The sequence below is a fragment of the Homo sapiens genome, chromosome 7 (genome assembly GCF_000001405.40).
Source record: "Homo sapiens chromosome 7, GRCh38.p14 Primary Assembly".
NCBI classification, from domain to species: domain Eukaryota; kingdom Metazoa; phylum Chordata; class Mammalia; order Primates; family Hominidae; genus Homo; species Homo sapiens.
The window spans coordinates 102053692-102071810 of record NC_000007.14 but is presented as its reverse complement, the minus strand read 5'-3'; the positions used below and the strand labels follow the sequence as shown (position 1 = coordinate 102071810).

At 47.2% G+C, this 18119-nt stretch overlaps 1 protein-coding gene across 25 annotated transcripts in view, besides 3 other annotated features; it reads right to left on the bottom strand.

Moving 5' to 3' along the window:
• The window catches only part of CUX1 (cut like homeobox 1), a 467952-nt gene that overhangs the window by 212148 nt on the left and 237685 nt on the right, over positions 1-18119 (bottom strand). For all 25 annotated transcript variants that reach the window (NM_001913.5, NM_181500.4, NM_001202545.3 and 22 more), the window contains one exon: positions 1394-1472. In NM_001913.5, coding sequence (NP_001904.2) covers positions 1394-1472 — 79 coding nt within the window. The remainder of the gene's footprint in view (positions 1-1393; positions 1473-18119) is intronic.
• Positions 3811-4001: a silencer, noted in NCBI's record as "fragment chr7:101711090-101711280 (GRCh37/hg19 assembly coordinates)". NCBI's record gives its function as "represses an EF-1alpha promoter that drives an FKBP-Casp9 reporter gene in an ReSE screen in K562 erythroleukemia cells {active_cell/tissue: K562}" and the evidence as "EXISTENCE:reporter gene assay evidence [ECO:0000049][PMID:32094911]".
• Positions 7289-8005: an enhancer, noted in NCBI's record as "H3K27ac-H3K4me1 hESC enhancer chr7:101707086-101707802 (GRCh37/hg19 assembly coordinates)". NCBI's record gives its function as "activates a minimal SCP1, AML or CMV promoter by ChIP-STARR-seq in primed H9 embryonic stem cells {active_cell/tissue: H9 hESC(primed)}" and the evidence as "EXISTENCE:reporter gene assay evidence [ECO:0000049][PMID:30033119]".
• Positions 9299-9598: an enhancer, noted in NCBI's record as "active region_26419". NCBI's record gives its function as "activates an Ori minimal core promoter by ATAC-STARR-seq in GM12878 lymphoblastoid cells {active_cell/tissue: GM12878}" and the evidence as "EXISTENCE:reporter gene assay evidence [ECO:0000049][PMID:35858748]".

The following is an 18119-nucleotide window of genomic DNA, read 5'->3' as shown; positions in this document are numbered from 1 at the left end:
CATCCAGGGAAGGAGAATCTGGGTCTCCTCATTCCCTGTCCGAAGTGCTTTCTGCCATCCCGTGTTTGGTGTGACCTCTATTAATCCCAGCTCCAAGAGGGGACAGCAAAGCCCGTGGTAGACCTGAATCAGAACACAAGTACAGGTACAAAGGAGACCTGAGTCTGCCTCGCTCTGTTAATGTAGCTCTAATGATGTCAATGATATTCAGAGAATTGCTAACAAGGGCAAGGGCACAACTGTAATGGGTGGGGAGGGGAGGGTGGTGGTAATTCCAATTCTTTGCTTGGCAGAAAAAGGCATCAAGTGACTTTCCTAATTTTCTGATCAGCATCTCTCCAGGGCTGAGCTGGGCCCCACATAGTTATGTCCATCACCTTACTCCAGATTCTAAGGCAATCGAGGACCCACAAACAGGACCAGAGAGTTCAAGGCACTCTACCTGCCTTCTCACTTTTCCAGAATAAAGAATCGGAAGCCATCACCTCTTAGAATGCCTCACAAACATATTTAAATTTTAATTCTTCAATCCCTCTAAAAGAAGAAACAGGGCCAGGCGTGGTGGCTCCTGCATGTAACCTCACAGCACTTTAGGAGGCTGAGGTGGGAGGATAGCTTGAGCCCAGGAGTTCGAGACCAGCCTGGGCAATAAAGTGAGACCTCATCGCACTCATTGTACAAAAAATACAAAAATTAGCTGAATGTGGTGGCACGTACCTCCCAGCCACTTGGGAGGTTGAGGTGGGAGGATCGCTTGAGCCCGGGAGGTGCAGGTTGCAGTGAGCGGAGATTGTGCCACTGCACTCCAGCCTGGGCGACAGAGCGAGACCCTGTCTCAAAAATAAATAAATAAAATTAGAAAAAAAAAATAAAAGAAACAACTGATATACTTGGTTGTAGCTGCAAGGATTATCAGTTACCCTCTGCCCATAACCCTTAAGTGAAGGGCTTGTCCAGGGGCCACTGATCTTGGATGACCTGGCAGGGGAGCGGGACACTCCAGGTGTCTTAGTAGGGCCATTCCTAAAGTCTTAAAGGTGGCTTTGGGCAATATGAGGGACTTCCACACAGCATACACACATCAGGTCTGCATCTTCTCTGCAGTACGTGCAGGGTTTTATGCTGTAGCCCCAGAGATTTGGATCTCTGCTTTTACGAAGTCATCCCCTAGAGATTACGTGAGTACTTCAACAAGTGCATCCAATTTCCCTCCGTACCCAAAGTCTGGGTTGTGAAGAATTCATGTGTCCTGCACTCCCTGGTTTCTTGGGGGGAAGTTGCCACTGATGGTGTATTTATTTTCCTTAGGAAAGCCAAGAAGAATGAGCCAAAAACCCACCGACTCACCAGACACAACGCCCCCCACTGGTGGGCCATTACTGCCGGGGCTTACCTGGGACGTCAATCAATCTTTTGTAGACATTCAAGAAAGCTGCTTCAGCTTCCTTGCTTCTTTTACTCAGTGCATCAATCTGAAAGGGAAGGAAAGAAAGAAAAGAAAAACAAAGAGCTCAACATTTGTCAAGAGGTAATTTACAAAGCATTACACATCTAGTGAATTCCCGTAGCAAGGGAGATGCTTGACAACTGGGCTTCAGCCTCTTAGAGGAAATGCCTGCAAACACAAAAGGACCCTGTTCATGAAGGTAAACAAGGGAGGAGCAGAGATTTGGGAGTATGGAGCCATTCACTATACAGCAGGGAACACTGGGTGGGTCTTCCATAGAGAATGGTCTGGCGTGCCCTTCCTGGTCTTTTGTCTTCTCCAAATGCTGACTTAAGAGCTGGCCATGTGCTAGACACTGCTGGGGATCAGAGGTGGGTGGGAAGAGACAGTTCCTACCCCCAGAAGCTCAGGGTCTAGGAGGGAAACAGGTATGTAATTAACAAGTAATTAAATCCCTGGGGACATGCAGAAGGGAACTTCAGGCAGTAAAGTTGTGACCTTAGAGCAGAGTCTTAAAAAGCATTTCACCCAGGTGGACGGGTAAGATGCTGCATGTAAACGGACGAACACATTCAAATCCCAGGAGCAAAGAATTTCATAAAATTCTCCTTTTTTTGAGACAGAGTCTTGCTCTGTCGCCCAGACTGGAGTGCAGTAGCACGATCTCAGCTCACTGCAACCTCTGCCTCCCAGGTTCAAGCGATTCTTGCCCTCAGCCTCCCAAGTAGCTGGAATTACAGGTGCCTACCACCATGCCAGACTAATTTTTGTATTTTTAGTAGAGACGAGGTTTTATCATGTTGGCCAGGCTGGTCTCAAACTCCTGACCTCAGGTGATCTGCCCGCCTCAGCCTCCCAAAGTGCGGGGATTACAGGCGTGAGCCACTGCGTCTGGCCTATGTGTTCTGTTTTAAGACACTCATTTGCATGTCAGCTTGTGCTCTATTCCTGGAGTCCAGATTAAGAGTCCACCAACACGGCTACAACACACCATGGGGCATAGGGGACCCACGAGAGTCTGCCAGGTGGGAACGCGGATACATATGCAGGAGCTGTGGGTGACGCAGCTGGACAATCAAGTGGGGTGAGATTTTGAGGGGCACAAGGGTGCATGGTGCAGGGAGACCCTCATCACCTGAGCAGCGGTCAGGGTGGAAAGAGCACAGGAGGGGGCAGGGAGGAAGAGAACCCTCGGACGTCACTGCTTTCATCCGAGTGAGATGCGCTGGGCAGTGGTTGTGGGTGTCGAGGAGGAGGAGAGGGCGGCTGGAGAGATCAGCGACACACACAGTTGACGTGAGGCCCAGAAGAACCAGGTGAATTGAGGACGGTCCCGGGGATTCCAGATTAGGCAACTGGCAAGGTTTTGCGATGGTGGCCAGGATTGGTTTTGTGAACTGACTAACTGAGCCAGTTTCCTCTAGTGTAGACGTCTGTTCATCAACTATGCTGGACGCATATGCAAAGAGCCTGCCATGGTTGGACTGACTTGTTAGAATATTTAGCTTACCTACACACTTGCTGAGACAACAGATCGCACTTTACAGCCGAAACACGCAAGACTGCACATGTACCAATGTCATACTGGCTCAGGCAAAGGACAGGAAATTATATATTCCGTCTGTCCCCTCCTAGAACTATGCTGTCTCCGATGTTATTACAGAGGCAAAGGATGCGGTTTAATTACAGGGCCTCTCACCTGAGCCACCGGGCAGTTTGTTAAGGGCTGAGAGAGGTCTCCTGATTAAGGATGTGGGGCGCTCAGAACTGGGGGACGATGGCTAGTGGGAGCTGGGCCTAGAAAATCGAACACATAGCAGCCTAGCGCAATGCAAGCATTTCCAACTTCTAACAAGCTGTGCACCAAGATTCCAATTTGAAGTCAATTGTTTGGAACTCAGACACATTTCCACCCCCTCAACCCGATAAGATAAGGCTGTGATTCTGGGCCAGGTGTGGTGGCTCACGCCTGTAATCATAGCACTTTGGGAGCCAGAGACAGGAGGATGGCTTGAGCCCGGGAGTTCAAGACCAGCCTGGGCAAAATAATGAGCTATCTACAAATTAAAATTTAAAAATAAAAATTTTACAAAAAACAAAAAAATTAGCTGGGCGGGGTGGCAATGCACCTGTAATACCAGCTACTTGGGAGGCTGAGGTGGGAGGACTGCCTGAGCCTAGCAGTTCGAGGCTGCAGTGAGCTGTGTTCGTACAACTGCACTCCAGCCTGGGCAACACAGCGAGACCATGTCTCAAATTAAACAACAACAACAACAACAAAAAACAAGGTTGTGAATTTGGTGTTGAGTAGAATCTCAGAACAATATGCAAGGACTTTTTTTTGAGATGGAGGCTCGCTCTGTTGCCCAGGCTGGAGTGCAGTGGCGCAGTCTCAGCTCACTGCAGCCTCCACCTCCCGGGTTCAAACAATTCTCCTGCCTCAGCTTCCCAAGTAGCTGAGACTACAGGAGTGTGCTACCATGCCCAGCTAATTTTTTTTTGTATTTTTAGTGGAGACGGGGTTTCGTCATGTTGGCCAGGCTGGTCTTGAACTCCTGACCTCAGGGGTCAGGCGAGATTACAGGCATGAGCCACCATGCCTTGCCTACAAGGACTATTAATATGACAAGACCATGCCTTGTTTTTAAAATAACCCCCTCCCCCATTATTAGCAACTCATGCTCATTGTGTGATCAGAAAAATATCAAAAATATAGAAAAAAAATTTAAAAGTATAATTGAAATCCTCCACTCACCGGCAGGAGTCAGACTATCAGGTCTTTATTTCTATTTTTTTTTCCTAATTATATAAAAAAAAAATAGAGTTGTGGTCAGGTGCGGTGGCTCACACCTGTAATCCCAGCACTTTGGGAGGCCGAGGTGGGCAGATCATGAGGTCAAGAGTTTAAGACCAGCCTGGTCAAGATGATGAAACCCCATCTCTACTAAAAATATAAAAATTAGCCGGGCATGGTGGCGTGCACCTGTAATCTCAGCTACTCAGGAGGCTGAGGCAGGAGAATTGCTTCATTTGTACTCCGGAGGTGGAGGATGCAGTGAGCTGAGATCACACCACTGTACTCCAGCCTGGCAACAGAGCAAGACTCCGTCTCAAAAAAAAAAAAAAAAAAAAAAGTTACATGAAATGCAGACACACAGGCAAACAAGAGACAGATGTATTATACATTAAGAGTGGTCTCAGACTGGGGGTGGGTGGGAAGGAGGGGCTGGTGGATGCCAACTGAAGGGTGTGGGATTTCCTTTTGGGGTGATGAAAACATTTTACAATTGTCTGTGGTGACAGCTGTGCAACTTTGTGAATATCCTAAAAGTCAATGAACTCCAGACTTTAAATGGGTGAATTATATGGTATGTGAATTATATCTCAATCAAGCTGCTTAAAACGCGTGTGTGTATGTACGTACTTGAAATCAGCCTATACGTAAGATAGTGTGTTGTGTTTTCTTTCCCTGTCGTATCATGTATCTTTCTCAGTATCTATTACAAATTTTGGGAACTGTCTAAATGGCACTGTTTCAACTGTACCTAAGCCCACATATTATAGATGTCTAGAGTAAGCAACGGATTTGGAGTTGCTTCTCCAGATGAATTGGAACGCAACCTGGGGCTCTTCTAAGAGAGGCAGGTGGGTAGCAGAGTCTGTCCAGGAAGCTGGGCAGACGCCCTGGCTGCTGTCCGTACCGCTTGATGGCCACACAGAGGCTTCTCTTTCTGGCTTAGGATCTGCCTAGGGAGGGCCCCTCACTTCCGAGGTATTCCGACTCAGGGTACCGGGTGGCTGCGTCTCCTGGAGGCAAGGGCTGGGATCTGGAAGGATCCTGAACTCTGTCCTCCTGTCTCCTGTTTGGGTTATTCCCCAGGATGTGGGGTTTGGTAATTTGCACGGCACACTTCGGGGCTATAATGGGTTGAATTGTGTCTCTTGAAAGATGATGAAGTCCTGACCCCCAATACCTGTGAAGGTGACCTTATTTGGAGCTAGGGTCTCTGCAGGTGATCAAGGTAAGGCAAGGTCATTAGCCTGGGCCCTCGTCCAGTTGGATCCAATAAGGAGGAGAAACCTGGACACAGAAACAGACATGTAGACAGGTAGGATGTCACAGAGCGATGAAGGAGAGACTGGGCTGATGATCTACAAAGAAGAAGATGACCAGGAAACCACCAGAAGCTGGGACAGGGACACAGTAGATTCTCCCCTACAGCCAGCAGAAGGAACCAGCCCCGTGGACATCGGGGTTTTAAAACCACTCCACTGAGCCGGGCGTGGTGGCTGACACATGTAATCCCAGCACTTTGGGAGGCCAAGGCAGGTGGATCACAAGGTCAGGAGATGCAGACCAGCCTGGTCAACATGGTGAAACCCTGTCTCTACTAAAAATACAAAAATTAGCTGGGCATGGTGGCAGGCGCCTGTAATGCCAGCTACTCAGGAGGCTGAGACAGGAGAATTGCTTGAACCCAGGAGGCGGAGGTTGCAGTGAGCCGAGATCACGCCACTGCACTCCAGCCTGGCGACAGAGCGAGACTCCATCTCAGAACAAAACAAAAAAAAAACCACTCCACGTGTATCCATGTCATTTTATCTAAACCGGCATAAAAACCAAAAACCCCAGTGTTCCTCCACTCATCAGAGCTGTATCACAGGGACCAAGACTCTCAGTCCTCTCCCCGTGCCCTCTTCCACTAACACAGGGAAATTCCAGCCCAGTCCTGAGGAACACGGTCAGGCCGATGAGTTTAATGAATTCAGTATGCAAATGGACCATGAGGTTTCTTAAAAGAGATGACTTAAAAGATCCTTTTCTAAATGATAAAGTCCCCTCCGCTCCGCAGACAAGAATGGGCCTCAAGGCTGGGCGCAGTGGCTCAGGCCTGTAATCCCAACAATTTAGGAAATGGAGGCAGGAGTTCAAGACCAGCCTGGGCAGCAGAGTGAGACCCTATCTCTACCAAAAATAAAAATTAGCTGGGCATGGTGGCATGCACCTGTAATCCCAGCACTTTGGGAAACTGAGGTGGGAGGAGGGCTTGAGCCTAGGAATTCAAGACCAGCTTGGGCAGCATAGTGAGACCCTATCTCTACAAAAAAATACAAATTAGACAGGCACGGTGGTACACGCCTGTAGTCCCAGCTCCTCGGAGGCTGAGGTGGGAGGATCGCTTGGGCCCAGGGGTTCAAGGCTGGAGTGAGCTATGATTGAGCCACTGCACTCCAGCCTGGATGACCAAGTGAGACCCTGTCTTAAAAAAAAACAACCAGAATGACCCTGAAGTTGGAGTTTAGTCCATCCTCCCTCTGCAGCTCACCCAGTCTGTGGTAGGTTGTCCCTTTGTGTGACTTCCCTGCTGCAGCCAGTGACTTCCTAGTTCCGTGCTTTGCTTACTTGGAACACCCTTCGCTAACCTCTCCGTCCACTCAAAACCTATCTATGCTGCAAGACCCAATGCACACATCACTTCCTCCAGACCTCGAGCTGGGTTCCTGGGCTGTTCTGAGTCTAGAGGGAGGGAGGGAGCCTGGGCTTTGACTGCCAGCCCCACCTCCTCTGCACGAGGAGGGGACAGCAGCAGCCTCCAGGGCCTGGACGAGTCACTGACCTACCCTGGCAAGGGCCCCAGTACCAGACACAACACAGTGACTCTGCCACACAGAACAGCTTCCCCCCAGGTGTCCACATGGCTACCAGCCAGGAAGAGCATCCGTGGGAGGGAGGGAGGAAGGGACAGTGTCCTGCTCACCTTCATGCCCCCCACACACCCGCCTGACTCCCTGCAGGGAGCTCAGCCCATCCACTGCATGCCTTGGAGGTACAAGCCAAGGCTTGGTAACACAGCTCCCTCTGAGAAGGGGAGGGATCTGTGAATGAGCAAACGTCTAAGGTGAGGTCTTAAGGCAAGAATTGCTGAAGAGAGAATCCTAGGCTAGAATTCCAGCTACCTCGTGCCTGCCTGCACGTTAGCTTGAGGTAGGTACCGTGCCCTTAAAACCATTTAGAGCCGGCACCGTTGCTCATGCCTGTAATCCCAGCACTTTGGGAGGCCAAGGTGGGAGAGTCGCTTGAGCCCAGGAGTTCAAGACCAACCTGGGCAACACAGCAAAACTCCGTTTCACACACACTCTCACACAGACACAAAACTATTTGGAAGAAGCTAAACCAGGACGGATCTAGAGACGGTTAGACACTGGCCTGCAGCCTTGGGTAAAACCTGTCCTGCTCTGAGGGATCAGCCTCTTTTTCAGGCTCACCTCCTGCCATGCCTCACACTCCTGCCACACCCAGTCACTCCCAGTTCCCAGAACACATGAGCAATTTCCCCTCCGCCTGGAAGGCGCCTCCCAGGAATGCTACCCTGATCTGCAGGCTCAGAGCAGCTCCATCTCCCAGCCGCGGCCCCTCCCACCACCACCTGGGGCTGTCCTGGAGTTCTAGGATGACAGATAAGGCTGCCTGACTCAGGGATACTGAATTCCTGGAAAACTAAGCTGTAGCATCAACTGTTTTTCCTCCCGACCACGGGCACGCAGTGGGTGTTTAATATGCTTTTAATATCTTCCGCAATGGCCAACTGCATGGTCTGCAGATGTGACCCAAGGGTTCAGGAATCCAGGTTTAAATATTTATGAAAATGCTCAATATGTAAAGGGTTCTTGACAAGGCACGGTGGCTCACGCCTGTAATCCCAGCACTTTGGGAGGCCAAGGTGGGTGGATCACTTGAGGTCAGGAGTTCGAGACCAGCCTGGCCAACATGGTGAAACCTCGTCTCTCTTGACTAAAACTATAAAAATTAGCTGGGTGTGGTGGCAGGCGCCTGTAATTCCAGCTACTTGGGAGGCTGAGGCAGGAGAATGGCGTGAACTCGGGAGGCCGCGCTTGCAGTGAGCCAAGATCGTGCCATTGCACTTCAGCCTGGGCGACAGAGTGAGACTCCGTCTCAAAAAAAAAAAAAAAAAAAAAAAGAAAAGGAAATACTTAATATGTAAAGAGTTCTCTGTGTAGTAAGCATCTGTTTTGTGTGCTGTGAGATGATGACAGCCACTTGGCTGGCAGTAGCTCCTGGGAGGTGTCTTTCTCCACTGTACACACCCAACAGCGCTCTCCAGCTGTCTTCCTGCAGTGACCCGCACATCTGCACTAATGGCCGCTACTGGATTCCACGGTTATGTTTTCAGCAACATCACTTTCATAAGGCTGAGTTTTTTTTTTTTTAATGTAGTGTTACATTTATTTATTTATTTAGAGACGGAATCTCGCTCTGTCACCCAGGCTGGAGTGCAATGGTGCGATCTTGGCTCACTGCAACCTCCCCGCCCAGGTTCAAGAGATTCTTCTGTATCAGCTTCCCGAGTAGCTGGGATTACAGGTGCCTGCCACCATGCCCAGCTAATTTTCGTATTTTTAATAGAGACGGGGTTTCTCCATGTTGGCCAGGCTGGTCTTGAACTCCCGACCTCAGGTGATCCGCCCGCCTCGGCCTCCCAAAGTGCTGGGATTACAGGCATGAGCCACCGCACCCGGCTAAGTGTTACATTTAAAGACAAATGTGTAGTGCAGTGGCTCACGCCTATAATCCCAGCACTTTGGGAGGCCAAGGTGGGAGGATCGTTTGAGTGCAGGAGTTCGAGATCAACCTGGGCAGTGTAGCAAGATCCTGTCTCTACAAAAAATAAAAAATTGGCTGGGTGGGTGTGGTGGTGTATGCCTGTGGTCCCACCTCTTTGGGAGGATCCCTTGAGCTCAGGAGGTCAAGGCTCCAATGAGCTATGATTGCACCACTGCACTCCAGCCTGGGTGACAGTGAGACCCTGTCTCAAATAAAATAAGAGAAAGACAAATGTCTATAGGAAGGTATTTTAATCTAGCTCTCAATCAGTATCCGCTTATGATAGTATAAAAACTCAGTCTAGGTTTAGAAAACAAGTTTCATAGAAATCCACCAGATCTCTGAGATATGGAAGGGGTGAGAAAGTGCCCAACCATGTGAGTGCCAGCACGGCTGTGCTGTGGGTTCCCGGAGTCACATGGAATATGCTGCTGCCGCTCCCAACTACCATCTAGGCTCCCTGGAGGAGGCGTCACACATCGCTGCCCACTGCCACGTGACTTGTGGTGTAACAGCAACTTCCCCCTGGGTGCTTTCCCTCCTCAGTGATGTCAGGCATAGCCACACGAAATGCTTTGGCCAATGGTATGTAAGTGATGGTGTCTTATCTGAGCATTAAGATTTAAGAGCCAGTGTGCTCCCTCCCTCTGCTGCAAGGACCTTATAGGACCTACTTCCTCCACTGAGATCCTAGAATGAGGACCACCCACGGGGCTGGGGCACAGTCACAGCCAGCCCTAGTCAACATGACACATGAACAAGAAATGATCTTTGGTTGCCACAGGCCACTGAGATTTGTAGCAGTTTGTTTGTTACTGCAGCATAATCTAGTAAAAGCTGATGGTTACAGATCTCACGAGTTGGCCATATCTCTAAGAGAGTAACATACAGTGCCGGGCACAGTGGCTCACTCCTGAGCTCAAGTGATCTACCCGCCTCAGCCTTCCGAAGTGCTGGGATTACAGGCATGAGCCACTGTGACCGGCCAAGAAGTGCTGTGTATTTTGAAATAAAAAAGGCTCATCTCTCCACTGCACCACAGGGGCCTGGCCATGCCCATGTGGTAGGCAAGTCCACGCCACACACAGCCAAGGGCCTGGGCATGCTGTTGGCACATGAGGGTTTGATTTCCAGCTCCAACATAAAACAGGTGCTCTGCCTGAACCATTGAATTAACCTCTCTGGGCCTCAGTTTTTTCATCTGCAAAGTGGGGAGATACATCTTGGTTGCTGTCAAGATCAAAGCCGTGGCAGCCCTTGGAAAACAGTGAAGGAACCGCCGTCTCACCAGCTTCATTTCTCAGACGCAGAAACCCACCAAGTTACTTGGACCCTGGCTCCTGGCCCCTCCTAGGGATATGATAACATCCAGCATTGCGCACTGGGGCTGGGGGCCACATGGTCAATGGAAAGAGTGTGTGGTTTGATCAAAAGACAGACTTGGGTTTGAATCCTAGTTCCAGCACACACTGGCTGGGTGACCGGGAGGCAGGTTACTTAAATGCTGAAGTCTTTGGCTGGGCACAGTGACTCACGCCTGTAAATCCCAGCACTTTGGGAGGCCAAAGCAGATGGATCACCTGAGGTCAGGAGTTCGAGACCAGCCTGGCCAACATGGTGAAACCTGTCTCTATTGAAAATACAAAAATTAGCCAGGCATGGTGGTGGACACCTGTAATCCCAGCTACTGGGGAGGCTGGGGCAGGAGAATCACTGGAACCCTGGAGGCGGAGGTTGCAGTGAGCTGAGATCATGCCACTGCACTCTAGCCTGGGCTAGAGTGAGACACAGTGAGAGTCTGTCTCCAAAAAAAAAAAAAAAAAAAAAAGGCCAGGCGCGGTGGTTCACACCTGTAATCGCAGTGCTTTTGGAGGCTGAGGTGGGCAGATCACAAGGTCAGGAATTCAAGACCAGCCTGGCCAACATGGTGAAACCCCATCTCTACTAAAAATACAAAAAATCAGCCAGGTGTGGTGGCAGGCACCTGTAATCCCAGCTATTTGGGAGGCTGAGGCAGGAGAATTGCTTGAACCCAGAAGGTGGAGGTTGCAGTGACCCAAGACCATGCCACTGCACTCCAGGACTGGGCAGCAAAGTGTGTGTGTGTGTGTGTGTGTGTGTGTGTGTGTGTTTATTTGTGTGTGTGTATATATATATATGTATATATGTGTGTGTGTATATATATACTGAAGCCTTGATCTCTTCGTCCATTAAGTGAGGGTAGTAACTCCCTCCTTGTTGAGCTGTTGTGATTATAAATGTGGGAACCTCCTACATTAAGTATCTGACACCATCTGGATAGAAACCGGGTCAACAGCACTAACCTTCGCTAATAAATCCAAAGTCAGCACCTTTCTTTCCACCACACCATAGGTTATTCCCCGTCGTGATCAAATCAAGCAGGAAGCCAAGATGTGGAAAGTCCTGGAGGACCAGGACCCTAAGCAACATTTTTTTTTTTTGAGACAGAGTCTCGCTCTGTCTCCCAGGCTGGAGTGCAGTGGTGTGATCTCGGCTCACTGCAAGCTCCGCCTCCCAGGTTCACACCATTCTCCCGCCTGAGCCTCCCAAGTAGCTAGGACTACAGGCGCCCACTACCACGCCCAGCTACTTTTTTTGTATTTTTTTAGTAAAGACAGGGTTTCACCATGTTAGCCAGGATGGTCTCGATCCCCTGACCTCATGATCCGCCCACCTCGGCCTCCCAAAGTGCTGGGATTACAGGCGTGAGCCACTGCGCCTGGCCCCTAAGCAACATTTAAGACCACAGTGAAGACGGCATATTCAAGAACAATCCACTAGCCTCTATGCCCTGGGAGTTTACAAGCTAATGATTTAGAAATAAACACAGGCCATTAAAAGAATTTTCAAATCGATGAGCTCTGTCGGACTATAGGACAATAAAAATCAACAAAACTGCAGGGATATGATAGGGTAGTTTTGTCTCACTCGAAGTCTGGCTGTAGAATGTTTTCAAGAGCAAAGCATGGTTTGAAGGGCCACATTAAACACTAGAAGTCAGCTAAGACTGAGTCGGATGCTGTCCAAAACAGACACGTACGCAGGCCAAATCTTGAGGGTTTTAAATTTTTTTTTTTTTTTTTTTTTGAGATGAAGTCTCACTCTGTCACTCAGGCTGGAGTGAGGTGGCACGATCTCAGCTCACTGCAACCTCCACCTCCCGGGTTCAAGTGATTCTCCTGCCTTAGCCTCCCGAGTAGCTGGGACTACAGGCACCTGCCACCACGCCCAGCTAATTTTTGTATTTTTAGTAGATGGGGTTTCACCACGTTGGCCAGGCTGGTCTCGAACTCCTGACCTCAAGTGATCCACCCGCCTTGGCCTCCCAAAGTGCTGGGATTACAGGTGTGAGCCACTGTACCCGGTCCCACTTAGTAAAGTTTCTAAGAGGAAAACTAGAGAGGCCCCGAAGAAGCCGCTGGCTTGGAGAAAGGGTGTGGGATCCATAGAGGAGATTTGTGGCAGGGGACAGCACAAGATTAAAAGCCAAGATGATAAAAACAGCAACAAGCATCTCTATTCTCCTTGAGTTTACAAAGCCCTTCCAAGTACATCTGCCATTCTGGCTGTCAACATCTATCTGAAAGGCTGTCTTGGGGAAGAAAGATTAGCTGTCTTCTCTCTCCCCACAGTGCAAAACCAGCATGAGCAGGTAAATGCTCCAGGACAGCAGATCACAGCTTAGACAACAGGGAAACCTGCCTGCAGCAGGCTCTTCAGAGGAAGGAGGTGCTGGCTGCTTGCTCACCCCCGCTTCACTTCTTCCTTCATTCTGTCAATAAAGTCATTTAAGGAGGCTAAGATGTGCTAGGCTATGTTCTATTCCAGCCTATGGGAGACACAGATTCCTACTGCTGCTCCCAAAAAGTTTAAGATGGGGTAATGCTCCCCTCTCCTACCTCCCTCGGGTAAATCCCGGTGGGGGAGTGGGGCAGGCTTCCTAGGGGATAAATGCCTACCTGAGATTTTCACATCACCATTGTTGTGAGTAGATAATATATGTGTACAATAAAAAAATTGTAGATGTATAAAAACATACACATTCAGCAAGACTTTCACAATGCAAGATCAATATACGGGTATACCTCAAAGATAATGCAGGTTTGGTTCCAGACCACCATAAGAAAGTAAAAACAGACCAGGTACGGTGGCTCACACTTGTAATCCTAGCACTTTGGGAGGCTGAGAAAGGCAGATCACCTGAGGTCAGGAGTTTGAGACCAGCCTGGCCACCATCGTGAAACCCTGTCTCTACTAAAAATACAAAAAAAAAAAAATTAGCCAGGTGTAGTGGCACATGCCTGCTAATTCCAGCTACTCGGGAGGCTGAGGCATGAGAATCGCTTGAACCCTGGAGGTGGAGGTTGCAGTGAGCCGAGATTGTGCCACTGTACTCCAGCCTGAGTGACGGAGACTGTCTCAAAAATAGAACAAAAAAGGCAAATATGACAAAAAGAGCAAATATTGCAATGAAGCAAGTCACATAAATTTTTTGATTTTCCAGTGAATATAAAAGTTATGTTTGTATCATAGTCTATTAAGTATGTAATAGCTCTATGTCTCAAAAATGTACATATCTTAATTAAAAAATGCTTTATTGCCAAAATATGCTAACGATTATCTGAGCTTTCAGGGAGTTGTAATCTTTTTGCTGGTGGAGAGTCTTGCCTTGGTGTTGGATGGCTGCTAGACTGATCAGGGTTGTGGTTACTGAAGCTTGGGGTGACTGTGGCAATTTGTTAAGGCAACAATGAAATTGGCTAGCTTGATTGACTCTTTCGTTAACACAAGATTTCTGTGTATCATGCATTGCTGTTTGATAGATTTTTACCCACAGTAGAACTTCTTAAAAAATAGGAGTCAATCCTCTCAAACCCAGTCACTGCTTTATCAACTCAGTTTATGGAATATTCTAAATCCTTTGTTGTCATTTCAACAATATTCACAGCATCTTCACCAAGAGTAGTTTCCATCTCAAGAAACCACTTTCTTTGCTCATCATAAGAAGCAACCCCTCATCCATTCAAGTTTGATCATGAGGTTGCAGCAATTCAGTCACATCTTCAGGCTCCATTTCTAATTCTAGTTCTCTTGCTATTTCCCCCGCATCTGCAGTTCCTTCCTCCACTGAAGCCTTGAACCCCTCAAAGTCATCCATGAGGGTTGGAATCCATTTCTTCCAAACTCCTGTTCATGTTGCTATTTCAACCCCCTCCCATGAATCACAAATGTTCTTCATGGAATCTAAAATGGTGACTCCTTTCCAGAAGGAAAGGATTTCTATTTAATTTGCCTAGATCTATCAGAGGAATCACCATCTATGGCAGCTATAGCCTTACAAAATGTATTTCTTAAAAAATAAGACTTGAGTGTCAGAATTACTCCCTGATCCATGTGCTGTAGAATGCAGGTTGTGTTAGCAGGCATGGAAACAACATTCATCTTGTACATCTCCACCAGAGCTCTTGTTGACCAGGTGCACTGTCAATGAGCAGTCATATTTTGAAAAGAACCTTTCGGCTAGGCGCGGTGGCTCATGCCTGTAATCCCAGCACTTTGGGAGGCTGCGGCGGGCGGATCACGAGGTCAGGAGATCGAGACCATCCTGGCTAACACAGTGAAACTCCATCTCTAATAAAAATACAAAAAATTAGCCAGGCGTGGTAGCACACACCTGTAATCCCAGCTACTCGGGAGGCTGAGGCAGGAGAATCACTTGAACCCAGGAGGCAGAGGTTGCAGTGAGCCGAGATCGCACCACTAGACTCCAGCCTGGGTGACAGAGCGAGACTCTGTCTCAAAAAAAAAAAACCAGAAAACAAAAAACAAAAAACAAAAAATCTTTTTATCAGCCGAGTGTGGTGGCTCATGCCTGTAATCCCAGTACTTTGGGAGGCTGAGGCAGGCGGATCACGAGGTCAGGAGTTCAAGACTGGCCTGGCCAACATAGTGAAACCCCATCTCTTCTAAAAATACAAAAAGTAGCCGAGCATGGTGGTGGGAGCCTGTAATCCCAGCTACTCAGGAGGCTAAGGCAGAAGAATCACTTGAATTTGGGAAGCAGAGGTTGCAGTGTGCTGAAGTCATGCCATTGCACTTCAGCCTGGGTGACAAGAGCAAGACTGTCTCAGAAAAGAAAAGAACCTTTTTTTATTCTGGGCAGTAGGTCTCAACAGTGTGCTTAAAATATTCAGTAAAACATGCTATAAACAGATGCTGTGATCTAGGCTTTATGATTCCATTTCTAGTGCACAGGCAGAGTAGGTGTAGCTTAATTCTGAAGGCCCTAGGATTTTTCCGAATGGTAAATGAGCAATGGCTTCAACTTCAAGTCACCAGCTGCATTATCCCCTAACGAGAGTCGGCCTGCATTTGGAAGCTTTAAAGACAAGACACTGACTTCTCTTTACCTATGCAAGTCCTAGATTATATCTTCTTCCAAGAGAAGGTTATTTTACCTACATTGAAAATCTGTTGTGTAGCGCCATCATCTTCGTTGATTATCTTAGCTAGATCTCCTGGATAACTTGCTGCAGCTTCCACCAAAGCATTTGCTGCTTTACTTTGCACTTTTGTATTATGGAGATAAATTCTTTCCTTAAACATCATGAATCAACCTCCGCTAGCTTCCAACTTTTATTCGGTAGCTTCCCCACCTCTGTCAGCCTTCATAGAATTGAAGAGTCAGGGCTTTGGCTTGAGACAATTAAGACCCAATTAAGAGAATTAGACTTTGGCTTAAGAGAATGTTGTGGCTGGTTTGATCGTCTATGCAGATCACCAAAATTTTCTCCCTATCAGAAATAAGGCTTTCTTATCATTCATGTGTTCACTGGAGCAGCACTTTTCATATCCTTGATGAACTTTTCCTTTGCACTAATGACTGGGCTAACTGGTGCAAGAAGTCCAGCTTTTAACCTACCTCAGCTTTCAACACGCCTTTCTCACTGAGCTTAATCATTTCTAGCTTTTGACTTAAAGTGAAAGACATGTGACTGTTCCTTTCACTTAATAGGCCATTGCAGGATTATTAATTTGCCTAATTTCAATATTGTTGTGTCTCAAGAAATAGGGAAACCCAAAGACAGGAAGAGATGGGAAACAGCTGGTTGGTGGAGTAGTCAGAACACACACAATATTTATCAATTAAGTCTGCCATCTTATATGGGGCACAGTTTGTGGTGTCCCCAAACAATTATGATAGTAATATCAAAGCTCCCTGACTGCAGATCACCATATCAGATATAATAATAGTGAATAATTGGAAATATTGTGGGAATTACCAAAGTGTGACAAAGAGAAAGGAAGTGAGCACCTGCAGTTGGAAAAATAATGCTGACACACTTGTTTGACTCAGGGTTGCTACAGACTTCCATTTTTGAAGAAACACACTATCTTCAAAGCATAAAAAAGTGGAGCTCAATGCAACAAAGTATCCCTGTAAAAAAACATTTGTCTTTCTACATGTTTGCAATAAATGATCTGAAAGTGAAAGTAAAAAAAAAAAATCCATTTATAATAGCATCACAAAAAGTATAAAATACTTACGAATAAATTTGGCAAAAGAAATACAAAACTTGTGCTCTAAAAACCACAAAACACTGCTGAAAGACACTAAACTAAATGGAAAGATGGCCAATGCTTATGGATTGGAAGACTTAATATTTTTAAGATGGCAATAGTCACGAAGTTGATTTACACATTCAAGGTAATGCCTATCAAAATTCCAGCTGGCTTTTTTTTTTTTGGAGACAGGGTCTCACTCTGTCACTCTGGTTGGAGTGCACTGTCACAACCTCAGCTCACTGCAACCTCCAATTCCCAGGCTGAAGTGATCCTCCTGCCACAGCCTCCGGAGTAACTGAGACTACAGGAACGCGCCACCATGCTTGGCTAATCTTTAACTTTTTTCTTGTAGAGATGAGATCTCATTATATTGTCCAGGCTGGTCTTGAATTATTAGGTTCAAGTGATCCTCCCGTCTTGGCCTCCCAAAGTGTTAGAATCACAGACAAGAGCCCCTGTGCCTAGACCCAGCTGGCTTCTTTGCAGAAATTGACAAGTTGATTCTAAGATTCATATGAAAATGCAATGACCCCAAATAACCAAAATAATTTTGAAAAAGGAAACAAGGTTGGAGGAGTCACACTTCCCAATTTCAATACTAAATACAAAACTACATTGACCTGAACTGGTAGGGGCATAAGGATAAACACACAGATCAATACAGCCCAGAAAGGAACCCTCATATTATGATCAACTGATTTTTGACAAGAGTGACATGACAATTCAAGGGTAAAAGAACAGTGTTTCAACAAATGTTGCTGGGACGACCAGATATCCACATGCAAAAGAGCAAAGTTTGATCCCTACCTCACACCATATGCAAAAATTAACTCAAAATAAATCAAAGACCAAAATATATGAGCTAAAACTATAAAACCTCTTAAAAGAAAACACAGGTGTAAACCTTTATGACCTTGGATTAGGCAATGGTTTCTTAGGTATGATGCCAAAAGCACAAATACCAGAAGAAAAATCGACAAATTGGATTTCATCAAATATAAAACTTCTGCGCTTCTAAAGACGCTACCAAGAAACTGAAAAGAGAGGCTGGGTGCAGTGGCTTACACCTGTAATCCCAGCACTTTGGGAGGCTGAGGCAGGTGGATCACCTGAGGTCAGGAGTTCGGGACCAGCCTGGCCAACATGGCGAAACTCTGTTTCTACTAAAAATACAAAAATTAGCTGGGCATGGTGGCACACACAACTGTGATCCCAGCTACTCAGGAGTCTGAGGCAGGAGAATGGCTCAAACCTGGGAGGCACAGGTTGCAGTGAGCCGAGATCGTGACACTGCAGCCACCCTGGGCAACAGGGTGAGACTCTGTCTCAAAAAAAAAAAAAAAAAAAAAAGTGAGAAGACAACCCACAGAATGGAAGTTTTGAAAAGATACTCCAGAATATATAAGCCCTCTTACAACTCATTAAATAAAAAAACAATTAGCCAGGCATAGAAAGACAAAC